The sequence below is a fragment of the Homo sapiens genome, chromosome 20 (assembly GCF_000001405.40).
Source record: "Homo sapiens chromosome 20, GRCh38.p14 Primary Assembly".
Classification (NCBI taxonomy): domain Eukaryota; kingdom Metazoa; phylum Chordata; class Mammalia; order Primates; family Hominidae; genus Homo; species Homo sapiens.
Window position 1 is genome coordinate 3,364,129 of NC_000020.11, and position 16,133 is coordinate 3,380,261.

The 16,133-nt window shown below is 42.7% G+C and overlaps 1 protein-coding gene across 3 annotated transcripts in view; it reads right to left on the bottom strand.

The window, feature by feature from the left end:
• The window catches only part of DNAAF9 (dynein axonemal assembly factor 9), a 158,364-nt gene that overhangs the window by 114,823 nt on the left and 27,408 nt on the right, over positions 1-16,133 (bottom strand). For all 3 annotated transcript variants that reach the window (XM_005260684.5, NM_001009984.3, XM_047440081.1), the window contains exons 4-6: positions 12,050-12,174; positions 10,902-10,998; positions 9,920-10,026 (exon numbers count right to left, since the gene is read on the bottom strand). In XM_005260684.5, the coding sequence (XP_005260741.1) occupies positions 9,920-10,026; positions 10,902-10,998; positions 12,050-12,174 (329 nt within the window). The remainder of the gene's footprint in view (positions 1-9,919; positions 10,027-10,901; positions 10,999-12,049; positions 12,175-16,133) is intronic.

A 16,133-nucleotide genomic window follows, 5' to 3' on the forward strand; every position in this document is an offset into this window, starting at 1 on the left:
GCTCAGTCTTTCCTCTAGCTTCTTGAACATATGAAATGCAGTTGTAACAACTGTTTTAATGTCCTTTTCTTCTAACATTTCTGTCAATTCTAGGCCAATTTTGAAGACTGATTACCTCATTATCAATTGTGTTTTCCTGCTTTTTTTAAGCCTGATGATCTCTGGATGCCAGACACCATGAATTTTACCTTGCTGGGTGCTAAATATTTTTGTATTCCTATAAATATTCTTATGCTTTGTTCTGGAAAGCAGTTAAGTAACTTGAAAACAGTTTGATCCTTTGGGGTCCTGCTTTTATGAATTATTAGGAAGGCCTGGAGCCACTGCTCAGTCTAGGGTTGATTTTTCCCTGCTACTGAGACAAAATCCTCCTGAGTGATCTACCCAGGGCCCAGTGAATTACAGGCATTCCTCAGAGCTATTGCAGGCTTGGTTCCAAATCACTATAATAAAGTGAATAATGCAATAAAGCAAGTCACACAAATATTTTGGTTTCCTAGTACATATAAAAGTTATGTTTACAACACACCATAGTCTATTAAGTATGCAATAACACATCTAAAAAAATCAAATGTACACACCTTAATTTTAAAAATACTTTATCACTAAAAAATGCGAACAATCAACTGAGCCTTCAGTGAGTCACAATCTTTTTGCTGGTGGAGGGTCTTGCCTCCATGCTGATACCTGCTGACTGATCAGGGTGTTGGCTGCTGAAGGTTAAGAGGCTGCGGCAATCCCTTTCCCTCCCTTCCCCTCCCCTTCCTTTCCTTTCCTTCTTTTCTCTCTCTCCCTCTCTCTCCTTCTTTTCCTTTTTTCTTTTTTTTTTTTTTGAAATAGAGCCTCCTTCTGTCACCCAGGCTGGAGTGCGGTGGCACAATCATAGCTCACTGCAGCCTTGACCTTCTGGAGCAATCCTCCAGAAAGACTGCTTCCTTCTCAAGCAATCCTCCTGCCTCAGCCTCCAGAGTAGCTAGAACTATAGGTGCACCATGATGCCAGCTAATTAAAACAAAAATCTGTTTTTGTAAAGATGGGATAATGTTATGTTGCTCAGACTGATCTTGAACTCCTAGTCTCAAGTGATCCTCTTGCCTCAGTCTCCCAAAGTGCTAGGATTACAGGCACAATCCACTATGCCAGCAGCCATTTCTTAAAATAAGACAACAATGAAGTTTGTCACATCAGCTGACTCTTCCTTTCACAAAAGACTTCTCTGTGATATGCCACACTATTTGATAACATTTTATTTATTTATTTATTTATTTATTTATTTATTTTTAGGAGGAGTCTCGCTCTGTTGCCCAGGCTGGGGAGCAGTGGCGTGATCTCAGCTCACTGCAACCTCTGCCTCCCGGGTTCAAGCGATTCTCTTGCCTCAGCCTCCTGAGTAGCTGGGATTACAGGGGCATACCACCATGCCCAGCTAATTTTTGTATTTTTAGTAGAGACAGGGTTTCACCATATTGGTCAGGCTGGTCTTGAACTTCTGACCTCAGGTGATCCGCCCACCTTGGCCTCCCAAAGTGCTGGGATTACAGGCATGAGCCACCGTGCCTGGCCGTGATAGCATTTTACCCACAGTAGAACTTTTTTCAAAATTAGAGTCAATTCTCTCAAACCATGCCACTGCTTTATTAACTAAGTTTGCAGAATATTCTAAGTTCTTTGTTGAAGTTTCAACAATGTTCACAGCATCTTCACCAGGAGTAGATTCCATCTCAAGAAACCACTTTCTTTACTCATCCATAAGAAGCAACTCCCCATCCATTGAAGTTTTTAACATAAGATTGCAGCAAGTCAGTCACATCTTCAGGCTCCACTTCTAATTCTAGTTGTCTTGCTATTTCTACCAAATCTGCAGTGACTCCCTCCACTGAAGTCTTGAATCCCTCAAAGTCATTCATGAGAGCTGGAATCCACTTCTCGCAAACTCCTGTTAATGTTGTTATTCTGACATCCTCCTATGAATCATGAATGCCCTTAATGTCATCTAGATTGGTGAATCTTTTTGAGAAGGCTTTCAATTTTTTTTTGCCCAGATCCATCAGAGGAATCTATTGCCTAACAAAATGTATTTCTTAAATAATAAGCCTTGAAAGTCGAAATGACTTGATCCATGGGCTGCAGAATGGATGTTGTGTTAGTAGGCATGAAAACAACATTAATCCTCTTGTATACCTCCATTAGAGCTCTTTGCTGTCTAGCTGCCCTGTCAATCAGCAGTAATACTTGAAAGGAATTTTTTTTTTCTGAGAAGTAGGACTCAATAGTGGGCTTAAAATATTCAGTAAGCCATGCTGTAAACAGATGTGCTATCATCCAGCCTTTGGTGATCCATTTAAAGAGCACAGAGTAGATTTGGCATAATCCCTAAGGGCCCTAGGATTTCCAGAATGGTAAATGAGCACTGGCTTCAACTTAAAGTCACCAGCTGCACTGGCCCCTAACAAGAGAGTCAGGCTGTCCTTTGAAACTAGGCACTGACTTCTCTCTATTTATGAAAGTCCTAGAGGCTGGGCGCTGTGGCTCACACATGTAATCCCAGGACTTTGGGAGGCCGAGGTGGGAGGATCACTTGAGCCCAGGAGTTCAAGACCAGTCCTGGCAACACGGTGAGACCCCATTTCTACAAAAAATAAAAAAGTTAGCTGGGCATGGTGGTGTACCCCTGTAGTCCCAGCTAGGTGGGAGGCTGAGGTGGGAGGATGGCTTGAGTTTGGGAGGTCAAGGCTACACTGAGCCGTGATCACACCACTGCACTCCAGCCTGGGCAACACGGTGAGACTCTGCCTCAAAAATTAAAAAAAAAAAAAATTAAAAAAATAAAAATAAAAAAGAAAGTCCTAGATGGCATCGTCTTCTTATACAAGGCTGTTGTCAGCACTGAAAATCTGTTGTTTAGCGTAGCTACCTTCATCAACTATCTGAGGCAGATCTTCTGAATAACTTGCTGCAGCTTCTACATCAGCACTTACTGCTTCATCTTGCACTTTTATGTTTTAGAGACAGCTTCTTTCCTTAAACCTCATAAATCAACCTCTGCTAGCTTTAAACTTTTCTTCTGCAGCTTCCTCACCATTCTCAGCCTTCACATTAAAGAGAGTTAGGGCTTTGCTCTGGATTAGGCTTTGGTTTAACGGAATGTTTTGGTTGGTTGATCTTTTATCCAGACCACTCAAAGTTTCTCCGTATCAGCAATACGGTTGTTTCACTTTCTTATAATTTGTGTTCAGTGAAGTAGTGCTTTTAGTTTCCTTCAAGAACTTTTCCTTTGCATTCACAACTTAGCTGTTTGGTGCAAGAGGTCTAGCTTTCAGCCTGTCTTGGCTTTCAACATGCCTCCTTCACCAAGCTTAACCATTTCCAGCTTTTGATTTAAAATGAGAGAATTGTGACTCTTCCTTTCACTTGAACCTTTATTGGCCATTGTAGGGTTATTAATTGGCCTAATTTCAATATTGTTATGGTCAATGAATAGGGAAGTCAGGATAAAGCAAAAAACGAGGGAACAGCCAGTCAGTGAAGCAGTCAGAACACACACATCATTTAAGTTCATCATCTCATATGAGTGCAGTTTGTGATGCCCCAAAACAATTCTGATGGTAACATCAGAGATCACTCATCATGGATTATCATAACAGATATAATAAAAATGAAAAAGCTTGAAATATTATGAGAATTACCAAAATGCGACACAGAGACACAAAGTGAACACGTGCTGTTGGAAAATTGGAGCCAACAGGCTTGCTGGATGCAGGCTGCCACAAACCATCAATTTGTTTAAAAAAAAAAAAAAGCAATATCTACAAAGTGCAGCAAACCAAAGCACAATAAATTAAGATAGGCCTGTATGTGTTTTGCCAGTCTAACTGGTGAAAACAGGCACTGTTCTCAGCCCAGAACACACATCAGGCACTATCCTCGAATCCTTTCAGATAGGTTTCTCTTGACCTTGAGTAGTTACCACACACATGACTGCACTGATCAGTATTCTGCTGAGTACCGACTGGGGCAAGGGGAATCTTTGGACGGTTCTTTCCTCTTTAGTACTCTAACTGCTTTGGTCCCCGCAGACTCCCAGCTGCATCTCCTAACTCAGGGAGTGCGCTGGGCACCACCTGGATCCTCTCTTCTCTATGCTGTGTCTGGAAACTTTCTCAAAGTGATAAGCTAGTACCATCAAGGGGCTCACATTGATTGTTTCCGTCTCTCAGGGAATCAGGATTCCTCACTGCCTGATGCCTAGTTTGTGTTTTTGTTTTGGGGGGCTTTTGTTGGTTTGGGAACCAGTTTTTGTTGTTTTGTGGTGGGTGACTTGTTTTTTCTTCCTGGAAGCCTTTTTTTTTCTTTTTTGGCCAAACTTACTGACCAACTTCCTGGAAGCTTTTTTTTTTTTTTTGAGACAGAGTCTTGCTCTTTCGCCCAGGCTGGAGTGCAGTGGCATGATCTCAGCTCACTGAAAGCTCCGCCACCCAGGTTCACGCCATTCTCCTGCCTCAGCCTCCCGAGTAGCTGGGACTACAGGTGCCCGCCACCAAGCCCGGCTAATTTTTGTATTTTTTTTTTTAAGTAGAGACAGGGTTTCACCGTGTTAGCCAGGATGGTCTCGATCTCCTGACCTCGTGATCCCTCCGCCTCGGCCTCCCAAAGTGCTGGGATTACAGGCATGAGCCACTGCGCCCGGCCATCCTGGAAGCTTTTAAAGATATTCTTTCATCCAGGCTGGGTGCAGGTGGCTCACGCCTGTAATCCCAGCTTTCAGAAGCCGAGAAGGCAGATCACCTGAGGTCAGGAGTTTGGGACCACCCTGGCCAACAAGGTGAACCCCATTTCTCTAAAAATACAAAATTAGCCAGGCATGGTGGAGCATGCCTGTAATCCCAGCTTCTCGGGAGGTTGTGGCAGGAGAATCGTTTGCACCTGGGAGGCAGAGGTCGCAGTGAGCCAAGATCGTGCCATTGCACTCCAGCCTGGGCAAGGAGAGTAAAACTCTGTCTCAAAAAAAAAAAAAAGGATATTCTTTTATCCTTAGTGTCTGAAATGTCACGGACAGATTTAAGGGTTTTTTTTCCTCTTCCCATTCATACTTAAGTGATTTAATTTAAAACCTTTTATTTCTCTTTATGATTGGGAATGTTTATGTTTTAAAAAGATTTCTTCCCTTATGGTATCGTGGCCTCCTCTTTCCAGAAATTCTACTCATTGGATATTAGACTTCTTAGATCAGTCTTCTAACATTTAAAGTTAACTTTTTTTTTTTTTTCAGATGGAGTCTCGCTCTTTCGCCCAGGCTGGAGTGTAGTGGTGCGATCTCAGCTCACTGCAACCCCCACTTCCTGGGTTTAAGCAATTCTCCTGCCTCAGCCTCCCAGGTAGCTGGGACTACAGGCGTGTGCCACCACACCCGGCTACTTTTCTATTTTTAGTAGAGACGGGGGTCTCGCTGTGTTGACCGAGCTGGTCTTGAACTCCTGACCTCAAGTGATCTGCCTGCCTCAGCCTCCCAAAGTGCTGGGATTACAGGTGTGAGCCACCAAGCCCGGCCTAAAGTTAACTTTAAAGGTTAAAGTCTTTTAACTTTTTTATCAATATTTTCTATCTCCGTGATGTTTTTATTTTACCTTTCTAAGGAGTTTCCTAACTTTACCTTCCACCCCTCTATTGATTTTATCAATTATGATTTCCTAGAGCTCGTATTTTCCATACATTCAGTTATTACAACATTCACTTGTCCTATGGTTGACAAATCTTACATTTTTCTGGGCATCCAAAAAGAGTTTTATGTCAAGTTTTCTTCTATACCTTAAATTATCTTTGGGTCTTAATGAACTGGTCTTCTTTTAAAAAAAAAAATTGATCTTTTTCTTTTGAGTTACTGCTGTTTAATCAAATGTCTGGTGATCTTTGGCTTCCTATTCATACTTTGAAATGAGGCAATGAAAAGGCTAACTGGAAGGTGTATATTCCTGATAACTGTTATGCAGAGCTTCTATTACTGGGTCTCCATCCCCTTATATTCTACATGCCAAAATGTGAACAGGTTTACTCTCAGGAAGCAAAAACTACACTAGCCAATGAAATCTCTTGGTTTTGTCTTGCCTTTCAGTTTATTTATTTCATTTTTATTTATTTATTTTGAGACAGTGTCTCACTCTGTTGCTCAGGCTGGAGTGCAGTGGTTCAATCAGCCCACTGCAGCCTGGAGCTCCAGGGCTCAAGCTATCCTCCGGCCTCAGCCTCCCAAGTAGGTGGGACTGTAGGTACATGCCACTGTGCCTCGCTAATTTTTTTTTTTTTGAGATGGAGTCTCACACTGTCGTCCAGCTGGAGTGCAGTGGCATGATCTTGGCTCACTGCAGCCTCCACCTCCCAGGTTCAAGTGATTCTCCTGCCTCAGCCTCCTGAGTAGCTGGGATGACAGGTGCCTGCCACCATGCCCAGCTAATTTTTGTATTTTTAGTAGAGACGGGGTTTCACCATGTTGGCCAGGACGGTCCCGATCTCTTGACCTCATGATCCACCCGCCTCAGCCTCCTAAAGTGCTCAGATTACAGGCTTGAGCCACCGCGCCCAGCCGTGCCCGACTAATTTTTTTAAAATTTTTTTGTTGCCAGGCTGGTCTTGAACTCCTGGCTTCACGCGATCCTCCCGCCTTGGCCTCCCAAAGTGCTAGGCTTGATTACAAGTGTGAGCCACTCACCAGGCCCTTTTCAGTTTTTTTACAAAACCTCCACCCAAATCTCTTCTTTGTTTTTCCTAGGGTGGAGGTGGCATCTGCAAATGCCTGGTTGACTGTCACTTGAGGGGAGAGGAGAGCGGTAGAGGGAGGTACAGACTATTACATAACAACCTTTAATTTAATTCTTTCCTTTCAATATCACCAATTTCCATTCTCTATTCTCCACTTCATCATCTTCCTTCCCATTGCTTTAATCTACTTGGCCCCTTCCTCTGTATTCTGGAAAAGCTTTTCAAGTGTGTCAACTGATTAGATTTTTTATATCTTTTTTTAATGTAAGTTTTCATTCTACTAATAAATTTTGAGACTTCCTACAATCTTTTCTTATATGTCTTCCATCTCCCTTTTTAATTTTGATTGCTCACCTCATTGCTAGATCTCATTTCTCTTTTTATAAATTCTGTTCCTAAAAAGTACCAAAAAGAGAAATTTTCTCAATTATTTTTGTTCCTTGAAGAAAATCTTTTTTTTTTTTTTTTTTTTTTTTTTTGAGACTGGAGTCTCGCTCTGTGGCCCAGGCTGGAGTGCAGTGGCGCTATCTCGGCTCACTGCAAGCTCCGCCTCCCGGGTTCCCGCCATTCTCCTGCCTCAGCCTCCCGAGTAGCTGGGACTACAGGCGCCTGCCACCACGCCCGGCTAATTTTTTGTATTTTTAGTAGAGACGGGGTTTCACCGTGTTACCCAGGATGGTCTCGATCTGCTGACCTCGTGATCCGCCCGCCTCGGCCTCCCAAAGTGCTGGGATTACAGGTGTGAGCCACCGCGCCCGGCAGAAAATCTTTTTTTAAAGCATGCTGATCTATCCCTGCATCTAATATGTTGTGGTCTCTTTCTTACATTTTGTTGACCCTTTTCCTAATTCTTATTCTATCTTTCAATATGAAGATCTATTTGTCCATAAACAGATGAATGAATGCTCACTGGTTACTCATTATTTAGAGGTTTGCTATTAGGATCCTCCCCTTGTGGAGCTGATTGATGTAAATTTACATTACCAGATCACAGTTCCAGCAGTGGGAGAGTAAGAAGGAGGAAGTTAGAGGCAGAAAACGCCCTAGCAGAGGAACTTCCCTGTACTGCTTCCCAGGAAGAAAAAATTATCTATATCGATGACTCAGTTTGGCCCAGCATAAATGGCAAGTAAAAGCTGTGGCTGGGCCTGGTTTTCTTTCTCATGCTGGCACCTACCACATGAGGAACAAAACACATCTGGGCTAATGACTTTCTTCTGGGTATGGCCATATAATACAACACAAGTTTTAAAAATTAAGTTATTAAGTATAGCTCTCCTTTTCTTAGCCTGCAAAGGAGGCAAGAGCCTTTCTGGCTCAGGCAGTCATCAGGCCATCAGAGTGGAGTAGAGAGGGCACTGGCAGAGCCCATCTGTAGGCCAAACTGCTCCACACCTCAAAGCACTGGGAAGGGCAGGGGAAAGAAGACTGAGGTGGGGTAGAATGAAATGTGCCTGAAGGAAAGTATCTGAAAATAAAAGTGAGCAGCTACAGAAAAGGGCAGGATGTGGAGAGAGGGACCTAGAGAAGACCTATAGTAACTCTTCCTTTATGATGTGTACCATTTCTTCTTCATGGCCCATCCCATTTCCTAAAAACATCATCCTAATGTAAAGATCTACATTACTTTTCAAAGGTGTTTTTTGGAAGGAGATAACGTTCTTTTTGAATGTGACTTCATAGTGTGATGCACCTTAAGGTCAGAAAACCTCTCTCATTTGGGTTATGTCAACTATGTGGCCTCCCAGTGCACTTCTTCCAATGTGATTCTAGCTGCAGCCCAGTGGTTAGGAGCACAGGCTCTGAAACCAGACCATCTGGACCTGGCCCCAGCTCTGCCTCTCACTAGCTCTGTGAAACTGGGAAATTCATTTAATTGCTCTTGAACGGGGATGTACCTCAGAGGGTTACTATACCTACCTCAGAGGGTTACTATAAGAATGAAATCAGTCAATTCACATAAAGTGCTTAGAAAAGTACCTGGCATATAGTAGGCACTCAGACCTAGTTCATACAATTAATTAAAAATAAATATTACCATTATTAATTAATATTATAAAAATGTTAAGTTTCTTCTCTAACCCCTATGGTCTGCCTCCCTTCAAGCCCCTACTCTTCTAAGTTAGACAGCATTAATTCCCAGTAGGGGAAGCTTCCACAGCTTTGTGGATGTTCTGCTACTTGTAGTCAATGTGAGAATACTGTGATTTTGCAAAAGGAAAAGTGGAGTCCAAGTGGTATGCTTCCCTTCAGCCCCACAGCCCATGCTGCTCCATTTCAGAGGATGTGATAGTTCTCCCAGGCAAGCCTCCAGTCATCTGCTAGGGATGCCAGTACTTCTCAGAGGGGTAGAAATTAGCTCTGTGCCTTGCTTCTAAGGGACCCACTTACTCTCTCCCTAATAGGATGTCCCCATTTCTAGCATGACAATGTTCCCCGTCCCTGGTTTCCTGTACTGGGCAGGTCATTTCAGTGGGGATCCCATGGAGGCACATGGATACTCGTGGTCATGCTGCTAACCTATCAAGCCATTTTCCTTAATCTGTACTCTGGACCACACACTGTCCCAGACTCACTTAAGAAATATTTACTGGTCATTTTCTAGATGCAAGGAATGCTGAAATAAAAGACACTGCTCTTACCAAAAAAGCTAATCTTTCCATTCCTCTAGTACATTGTACTTATCCAAATTCTGCACTGTCCCTTTCATTGATCTTGAATAGTTCTCAAATTATATAAATTTCTGAGGTACAAACAACAACAAGTTATGTTTTTGTACTTAAGGAGCTTCCAGTACAAAGACCAGGGTGGATGGGTTGGTGGGCAAGTGGGTGAGTGTGACAAATGTGTAATAACAGGATCATAAAAGCTGTAGGAAAAGTCAATCTAGGGGGCTACAGGAGCAGACAGGAAGAACAGTCAGCTGAGAATGGGGTAAGGGAGAGGAAGGACGGAGAAGAACTCCAAGAAGAAAGGACACAGGACCTCAGTCTGGGACTAGCCTTTAGCAGCAACTATTTTCCATTTCAAGTCTCCTAACTTGCTCCATGCCCTTGTGAGGTAACTGCCAGCTTTTTGGTGTTATAATAATGCACACTCACATGGGTTCTTCATAAAAACAGCCCAGTGGCAGACAAAAACTAGGCATACTGCTTTTCATACATACCTCATATTTCATGGTAAAAAATCCATCCCCTCCAATGCCCTCAAGTGCAAAGGCCTGTACAATTGGCCATTTCTCCACCACAAACATATCAAATATCTGCAAGTGACCTAGAAGAATCAAATACAACAACACATATCAGATACCATCCTGAATATAACAGTCTAAACCTGACCTAACATGGTTAGACAGGTATCATTTCTCACGTGGTCACCAGGGCCTCACCTAGCAAAATAAAATACAAACAGATAAAATGGTTAGATATTGAAACTAGAAATACAAAATGAAAGTCAAGGAAAATTCAAACCATAAACAAGTCACATTCAGATTTCTTTACAGTATATTGTAACATTCCAGTTTCCTGAGTAAATTAAGTAAAAAATAAGAGTAGTCTATTATATCTGACTTGCATCATTCAGTGGGAATAATTATTAACAGACACAAAGTTGGCTCCTTTCCCTTAAGAAACACAGCCAATCAACTTCCTCAAGGGAAAACTACTAAATCAAAAATGTTCCTTTCTTGTTAACAATAGCTTCAATGTGCAAGGTTTTTTCTTTTTGTTGTTGCAATACAAGCACTGCTAAACTTGATAGTTTTTCCCTGTATTTTACACATCATTTAAAAACATGTCAGCATATCTTTTTAGAAGTTATCCAAATCCCTCTTTCTTATTACCAAGATGCCCCAACATCTATACTATACTCTTTGTATAGTAAGTGATACAGCCATGTCAATTGTGCTAAATTCTGTATCAGTTCTTCTACCTGATTTTGGGCAGCCTGCTGTGTTGCTGCAGAAACTTCACAGTAATTAATACAAGCTTGCACAGAAAAGTCCCCATACTTAATTCTGCTTGATGTCTTTGGTAAAAATAGACGAAGGGGTTTCTCAGCTGAATGCCCCCAATGAAAGGAAAAGTAGTGACGTTCAATTCACACACCACCTAAGCAAGGTTCTAGAAGGCTTGCTGTCAGATACTCACCTTGGGAGCTGTAAGGAATGCCAATTCTACTACAGTCTCGAACCATGTCCACAAAGCTGGTAATTTTAAATTCTTCTGCGGCTTCTTCATCTTCATACTGAAGAGACAAATCAAAAGAAAAATAAGCTCTGATGAGATATCACACAAATTCCCATATTTTCTCTGCATTTTGTCAACCAGAGTTGTCCCAAATGACATTTACAGAGGACTGCACCCAAGGAGGTGTTTCCAAAGCCAACCTTTTTCATTTGCTAGTCAGAAAGACTTGTTATGCCCTTATTTCATATTATACCCAAAAATCAACTGAAATGGATCAGGAAACCTAAATGCAAGAGATAACACTTTTCCCCCAAAAAATTCCGCCAAATACTCATATGGGAGGAAGTGTTCTTGACCAGTATCAGGTCACAACTTTCATGAAATCCTAAATCTCAAATCCAAACTTGATTTCCAGTCAAACCCCTGAAAAGGGCCCAAAGGGAAAGAAAAACAGATACCAAGACATTCAAACACAGGAATGTCAGAAAGCTTAAAAAATTCTCCCAGGGAGCCAGGCATGGTGGCTCACGCCTGTAATCCCAGAACTTTGGGAGGCTGAGGTGGGCGGATCACCTAAAGTCAGGAGTTTGAGACCAGTCTGACCAATGTAACAAAACTCCGTCTCTACTAAAAATACAAAAATTAGCCAGGTGCCTGTTGTCCCAGCTACTCGGGAGGCTGAGACAGGAGAATTGCTTGAACCTGGGAGGTCGAGGTTGCAGTGAGCCGAGACTGTGCCACTGCACTCCAGCCTGGGCGACAGAGTGAGACTCCGTCCCAGAAAAAAAAAAAAATCCCAGGGCAGTCCCTAGGCACTAATCCCCTAAGAGATGGGATTCAGGATGGTGATGAAGAAGCAGGCAAAAAGTTAAGTTCATAAACTTACCACTAGGTCCCAATTTGAACAGCCTCCTTTTGTCTCCACAGGCATACAATTTATCTATAAGGTAGCCTCAAAACGAAATATGAAATTCTCCACTTCAAACAGATAATCTTTTTTATATAGTCACACTCTGCAATTTGATTGCTGATCCTATTTCAGATCAACACTTTCCTTAAAGAGTATTCTTAGAGTGTCTCTAGGTGCCTGTCTTCTCTTTTCTTCTTACCTCATTTTCGGTCATGCAGTGGAAATGCAGATTTCTCCAATGTGCCACATAAGGTAAGAGATAGCGAAAGTTTACAGGATTACAGTACAGATGGACGCTATCCGATTTAATCAATATAATTACATCTGTAAGAAAAACAAAATCAAAACACAAGACTGTCAAACACATTTCTTTTAGATATTTTCTGCCCACATAATTAGTAAAACCATTGAAACTACTTCAGAGACAATGTAACAAAACTCTAAACTGAAAATTATTTAATTAAGCACTGTGCCTTGTAAACCAAAAAGTATCTGAGACAAGTCTCAATCAATTTTGAAGTTTATTTTGCCAAGTTTAAGGACATGCCTGTGACATACCCTCAGGAGGTCCTGAGAACATGTACCCAAAATGGCTGGATAACAGCTTGATTTTAGACTTTTTAGGGAAACAGAAGTTACCAGCAGACATCAACCAACACATGTAAAGTGTACATTTGGTTTGGTCCAGAAAGTCGGGGTCAGGAGTGAAAGGGTCCTTTCGTGTCATATAGGTGGATTCAAAGATTTTCTGACTGGCAATTGGTTGAAAGAGTTAAGTTTTATTACCTAAAGATCTGGAATCAGGGCTGGGCACGGTGGCTCACGCCTGTAATCCCAGCACTTTGGGAGGCTGAGGCGGATGGATCACGAGGTCAGGAGTTTGAGACCAGCCTGACCAACATGGTGAAACCCCGTCTCTACTAAAAACAAAAACACAAAAATTAGCCGGGTGTGGTGGCGCGCACCTGTAATCCCAGCTACTCAGGAGGCTGAGGCAGGAGAGTCATTTGAACCTGGGAGGCAGAGGTTGCAGTGAGCTGAGATTGCACCACTGCACTCCAGACTGGGCGACAGAGTGAGACTCCGTCTCAAAAAATAAAAATAAAAATAAATACAGACCTGGAATCAACAGAATGTCTGGGCTAAGATAAGCGGTTGTGGAGACCAAGGTTCTTATTATGCAAGTAAAGCCTCCAGGTAGCAGGCTTCAGAAACAATAGAAGGTAAATGTTTATCAGACTTAAAAAGGTACCAGATTCTTAGTTGATCTCCCCTGGATCAGGAAAAGACCTGGAAAGTGAAAGGGATTCTCTACAGAATGTAGATTTCTCTGACAAGAGACAGCTTTGCAGCACCATTTAAAAATATGTCAAAGGAGTATATTTTGGGATAAAATACTTAGATTTCTTTCAGGGTCTGCTATCTGCTATGTGATGTACCTTACTGCTATACAACAGCAATTTGGTTGGTCTTAAGATCTGTTTTCTTTCTTTTTTTTTTTTTGACAGGGTTTCACTCTGTCACCCAGGCTGGAGTGCAGTGGCATGATATAGGTTCACTGCAACCTCTGTCTCCCAGGCTCAATCCTCCTGCCTCAGCCCCACAAGAAGCTGGGGCTACAGGTGAGCGCCACCATGCCTGGCTAATTTTTATTTTTTTTTTGTAGAGACAGGGTTTTGCCATGTTGCCCAGGCTGGTCTCGAACTCCTAAGCTCAAGTGATCCAGTCACCTTGGCCTTGAAGTGCTAGGATTATAGGTGTGAGCCACTGCACCTGGCCAAGATCTCTGTTTTAATGTTAATGTTGGTCAGTTATGCCTGAATTCCAAAAGGAAGAGGACATAATGAGGCACTGCCAACCTCCACTTCCTATCCTGGCTTGAACTCGTTTTTCAAGTTTACTTTGGAATGCCCTTGGCCAACAAGGGGGTCCATTCAATTGGTTGGAGGGCTTAGAATTTTATTTTTGGTTTACAGCTTCAAAGTGACTTTAGAACTTTCAAATGTTGACAGCAAGAATTTCCTAGTCCCCAAACAATACTCCCCCTACCATGGCCCTCTGGGTCTGGCAATGCAGTTGCAGAACGAGTCAAAGAACAGCCTCCATCTACTGAGGCATAGTGTTCACATAGTCACATCTATGGGACCAGACATAGCTGAGTACTTCACTGCAGAGGTCAATACCATATGGAAACCCCACAGCCTAAGGCCACTGAGGCAGGGAAACAGCACCAAATATGGCCAGTGACTAGTTGTCCCTCAGACATCAGTGTCTAAAGCTCTCAGCTGTTGGCTCATCTGGCTCTAAGGCAACTGCAGGCCCAACGATACTGCTTGTCCCTTTAGGAAGAGTTATTGTGTGCAGTGGTGAGCTTTGTACGCAGGAAAGACTGGGAGGAAGGAAGTAGAGGCCAGTGGAAAGAGCTTCTATAAATAGATCAGCAGCTTACAGATTTAAGGAATAGTCTTCAATGCTCATGGGTGAAGTAAATAAAGCAATCCCAAGAATGCAAATAAACCTAGGTAAATGGAAGAGCCATGGGATGGAGTAGAATATTAAAGCAGTTTGACAACTGAGGACAAAGGCAGTCATACTTCCAGAAGAAAACCAGAGGCCCCATTCTATGGCTCCTCAGAAACAAGAGCCATTAGGCCTCCTAACAAGATGGAACTAGATGCTGTCAGAGGTAAGAAAGGCACACGCATAGGGGCAGAGAACACCTGATGCAGCAGGTGTAGGACAACGTCAAAAGGGTAATACAGTGTGACAGACCACACCTGACAAAAACATCTTATAAGCCCAATAAATACTGACCACATCTGACCACACAGCTGAGTGGCCTCCTGAAATAAAACTCCATGGGTCTGACCTTTTAAGCCACTCTAAGCCCCATGCCTGTAAGGCCCAGGGTGTTCCAGGGAACACAGGATGTAGCAGCCTCATCACTATTGACTCTTTAGGTAAGCACAAGAGTCAAAGGGTAGCAAAAGGTGGAATGGAGGCCCCTCTCATCTCTCAGCATATTGGTCCTTCTCACACACTCCCTCCAAGAGCCCTTCCCTGAGTCATTCGTAGACCACCTGCAGAGGAATGAGAGTTGGCTATTACCTGAAGACTGAGGGCTTCTGGTGTGTATTATACTCTACAGTAAAATGTAACATGCCTCAAAGAATTAGGATCCCGTAAGAGACATAACATAGTAGTTACTAAACCTAAAGTAAGCATTCCCCAAATCTCTTAGAACTCTGGTGTTATCACTATGAACCAAAGTTTAACAGAGTTTACAGTCAGGTAAAAGAGGAAAGCATATGAGAATGGGATGAATACGTAACCTATTTAAAAGCTGCTTTTAGGCTGGTGCGGTGGCTCATGCCTATAATCCCAACACTGTGAGGCCAAGGCAAGCGGAGTTCAAGACCAGCCTGGCCAACATGGTGAAATCCCTTTCCTACTAAAAATACAAAAATTAGCCAGGCATGGTGGCGGGTGCCTGTAATCCCAGCTGCTCGGGAGGCTGAGGCAGGAGACTCCACCAGGAGGCAGAGGCTGCAGTGAGCCAATATCACACCACTGCACTCCAGCCTGGGTGATAGAGCGAGACTCTGTCTCAAAATAAATAAATAAATAAAAGTTGCTTTTAGAAGTAAATTCATGTTGGCCTTTCCCCCTCTCATATGAGATCAAAATGTAGAAATTTGGTGATCTCTGCTTTCCAACTACTTGTATAAACAAATTTATTAATTTGTAGGAAAATGCTCATTTCCTAGGCACCCACTGTGCCAGGTAAAAAGATAAAAACAGGCCAGGCGTGGTGGCTCACAGCTGTAATCTCAGCACTTTGGGAGGCCAAGGCGGGATCACCTGAGGTCAGGAGTTCGAGACCAGCCTGGCCAACATGGTGAAACCCTGTCTCTACTAAAAATTCAAAAATTAGCTGGGCATGGTGGTGCATGCCTGTAATCCCGGCTACTCGGGAGGCTGAGGCAGAGGAATCTCGAACCCAGGAGGTGGAGGATGCAGTGAGCCAAGATCGCACAACTGCACTCCGGCCTGGGCAACAGAGCAGGACTCTGTTTCAAAAAGAAAAGATGAAAACAAAAATAAGCAAAAAAGCACACCTTTAAGAATTTAAACTATTTCCTTAATTTCAGTACTGTAATGTCCTTAGCAATCTGGGCTGAGGTGAAACGTGTGGCTGGTATGAGCTGCCAAGATTGCTTTTTTCTAAACCAGCAGATGTTGTATAGCGTAAGGAAAAAAATATTTTGTAATCAAAATCTGAA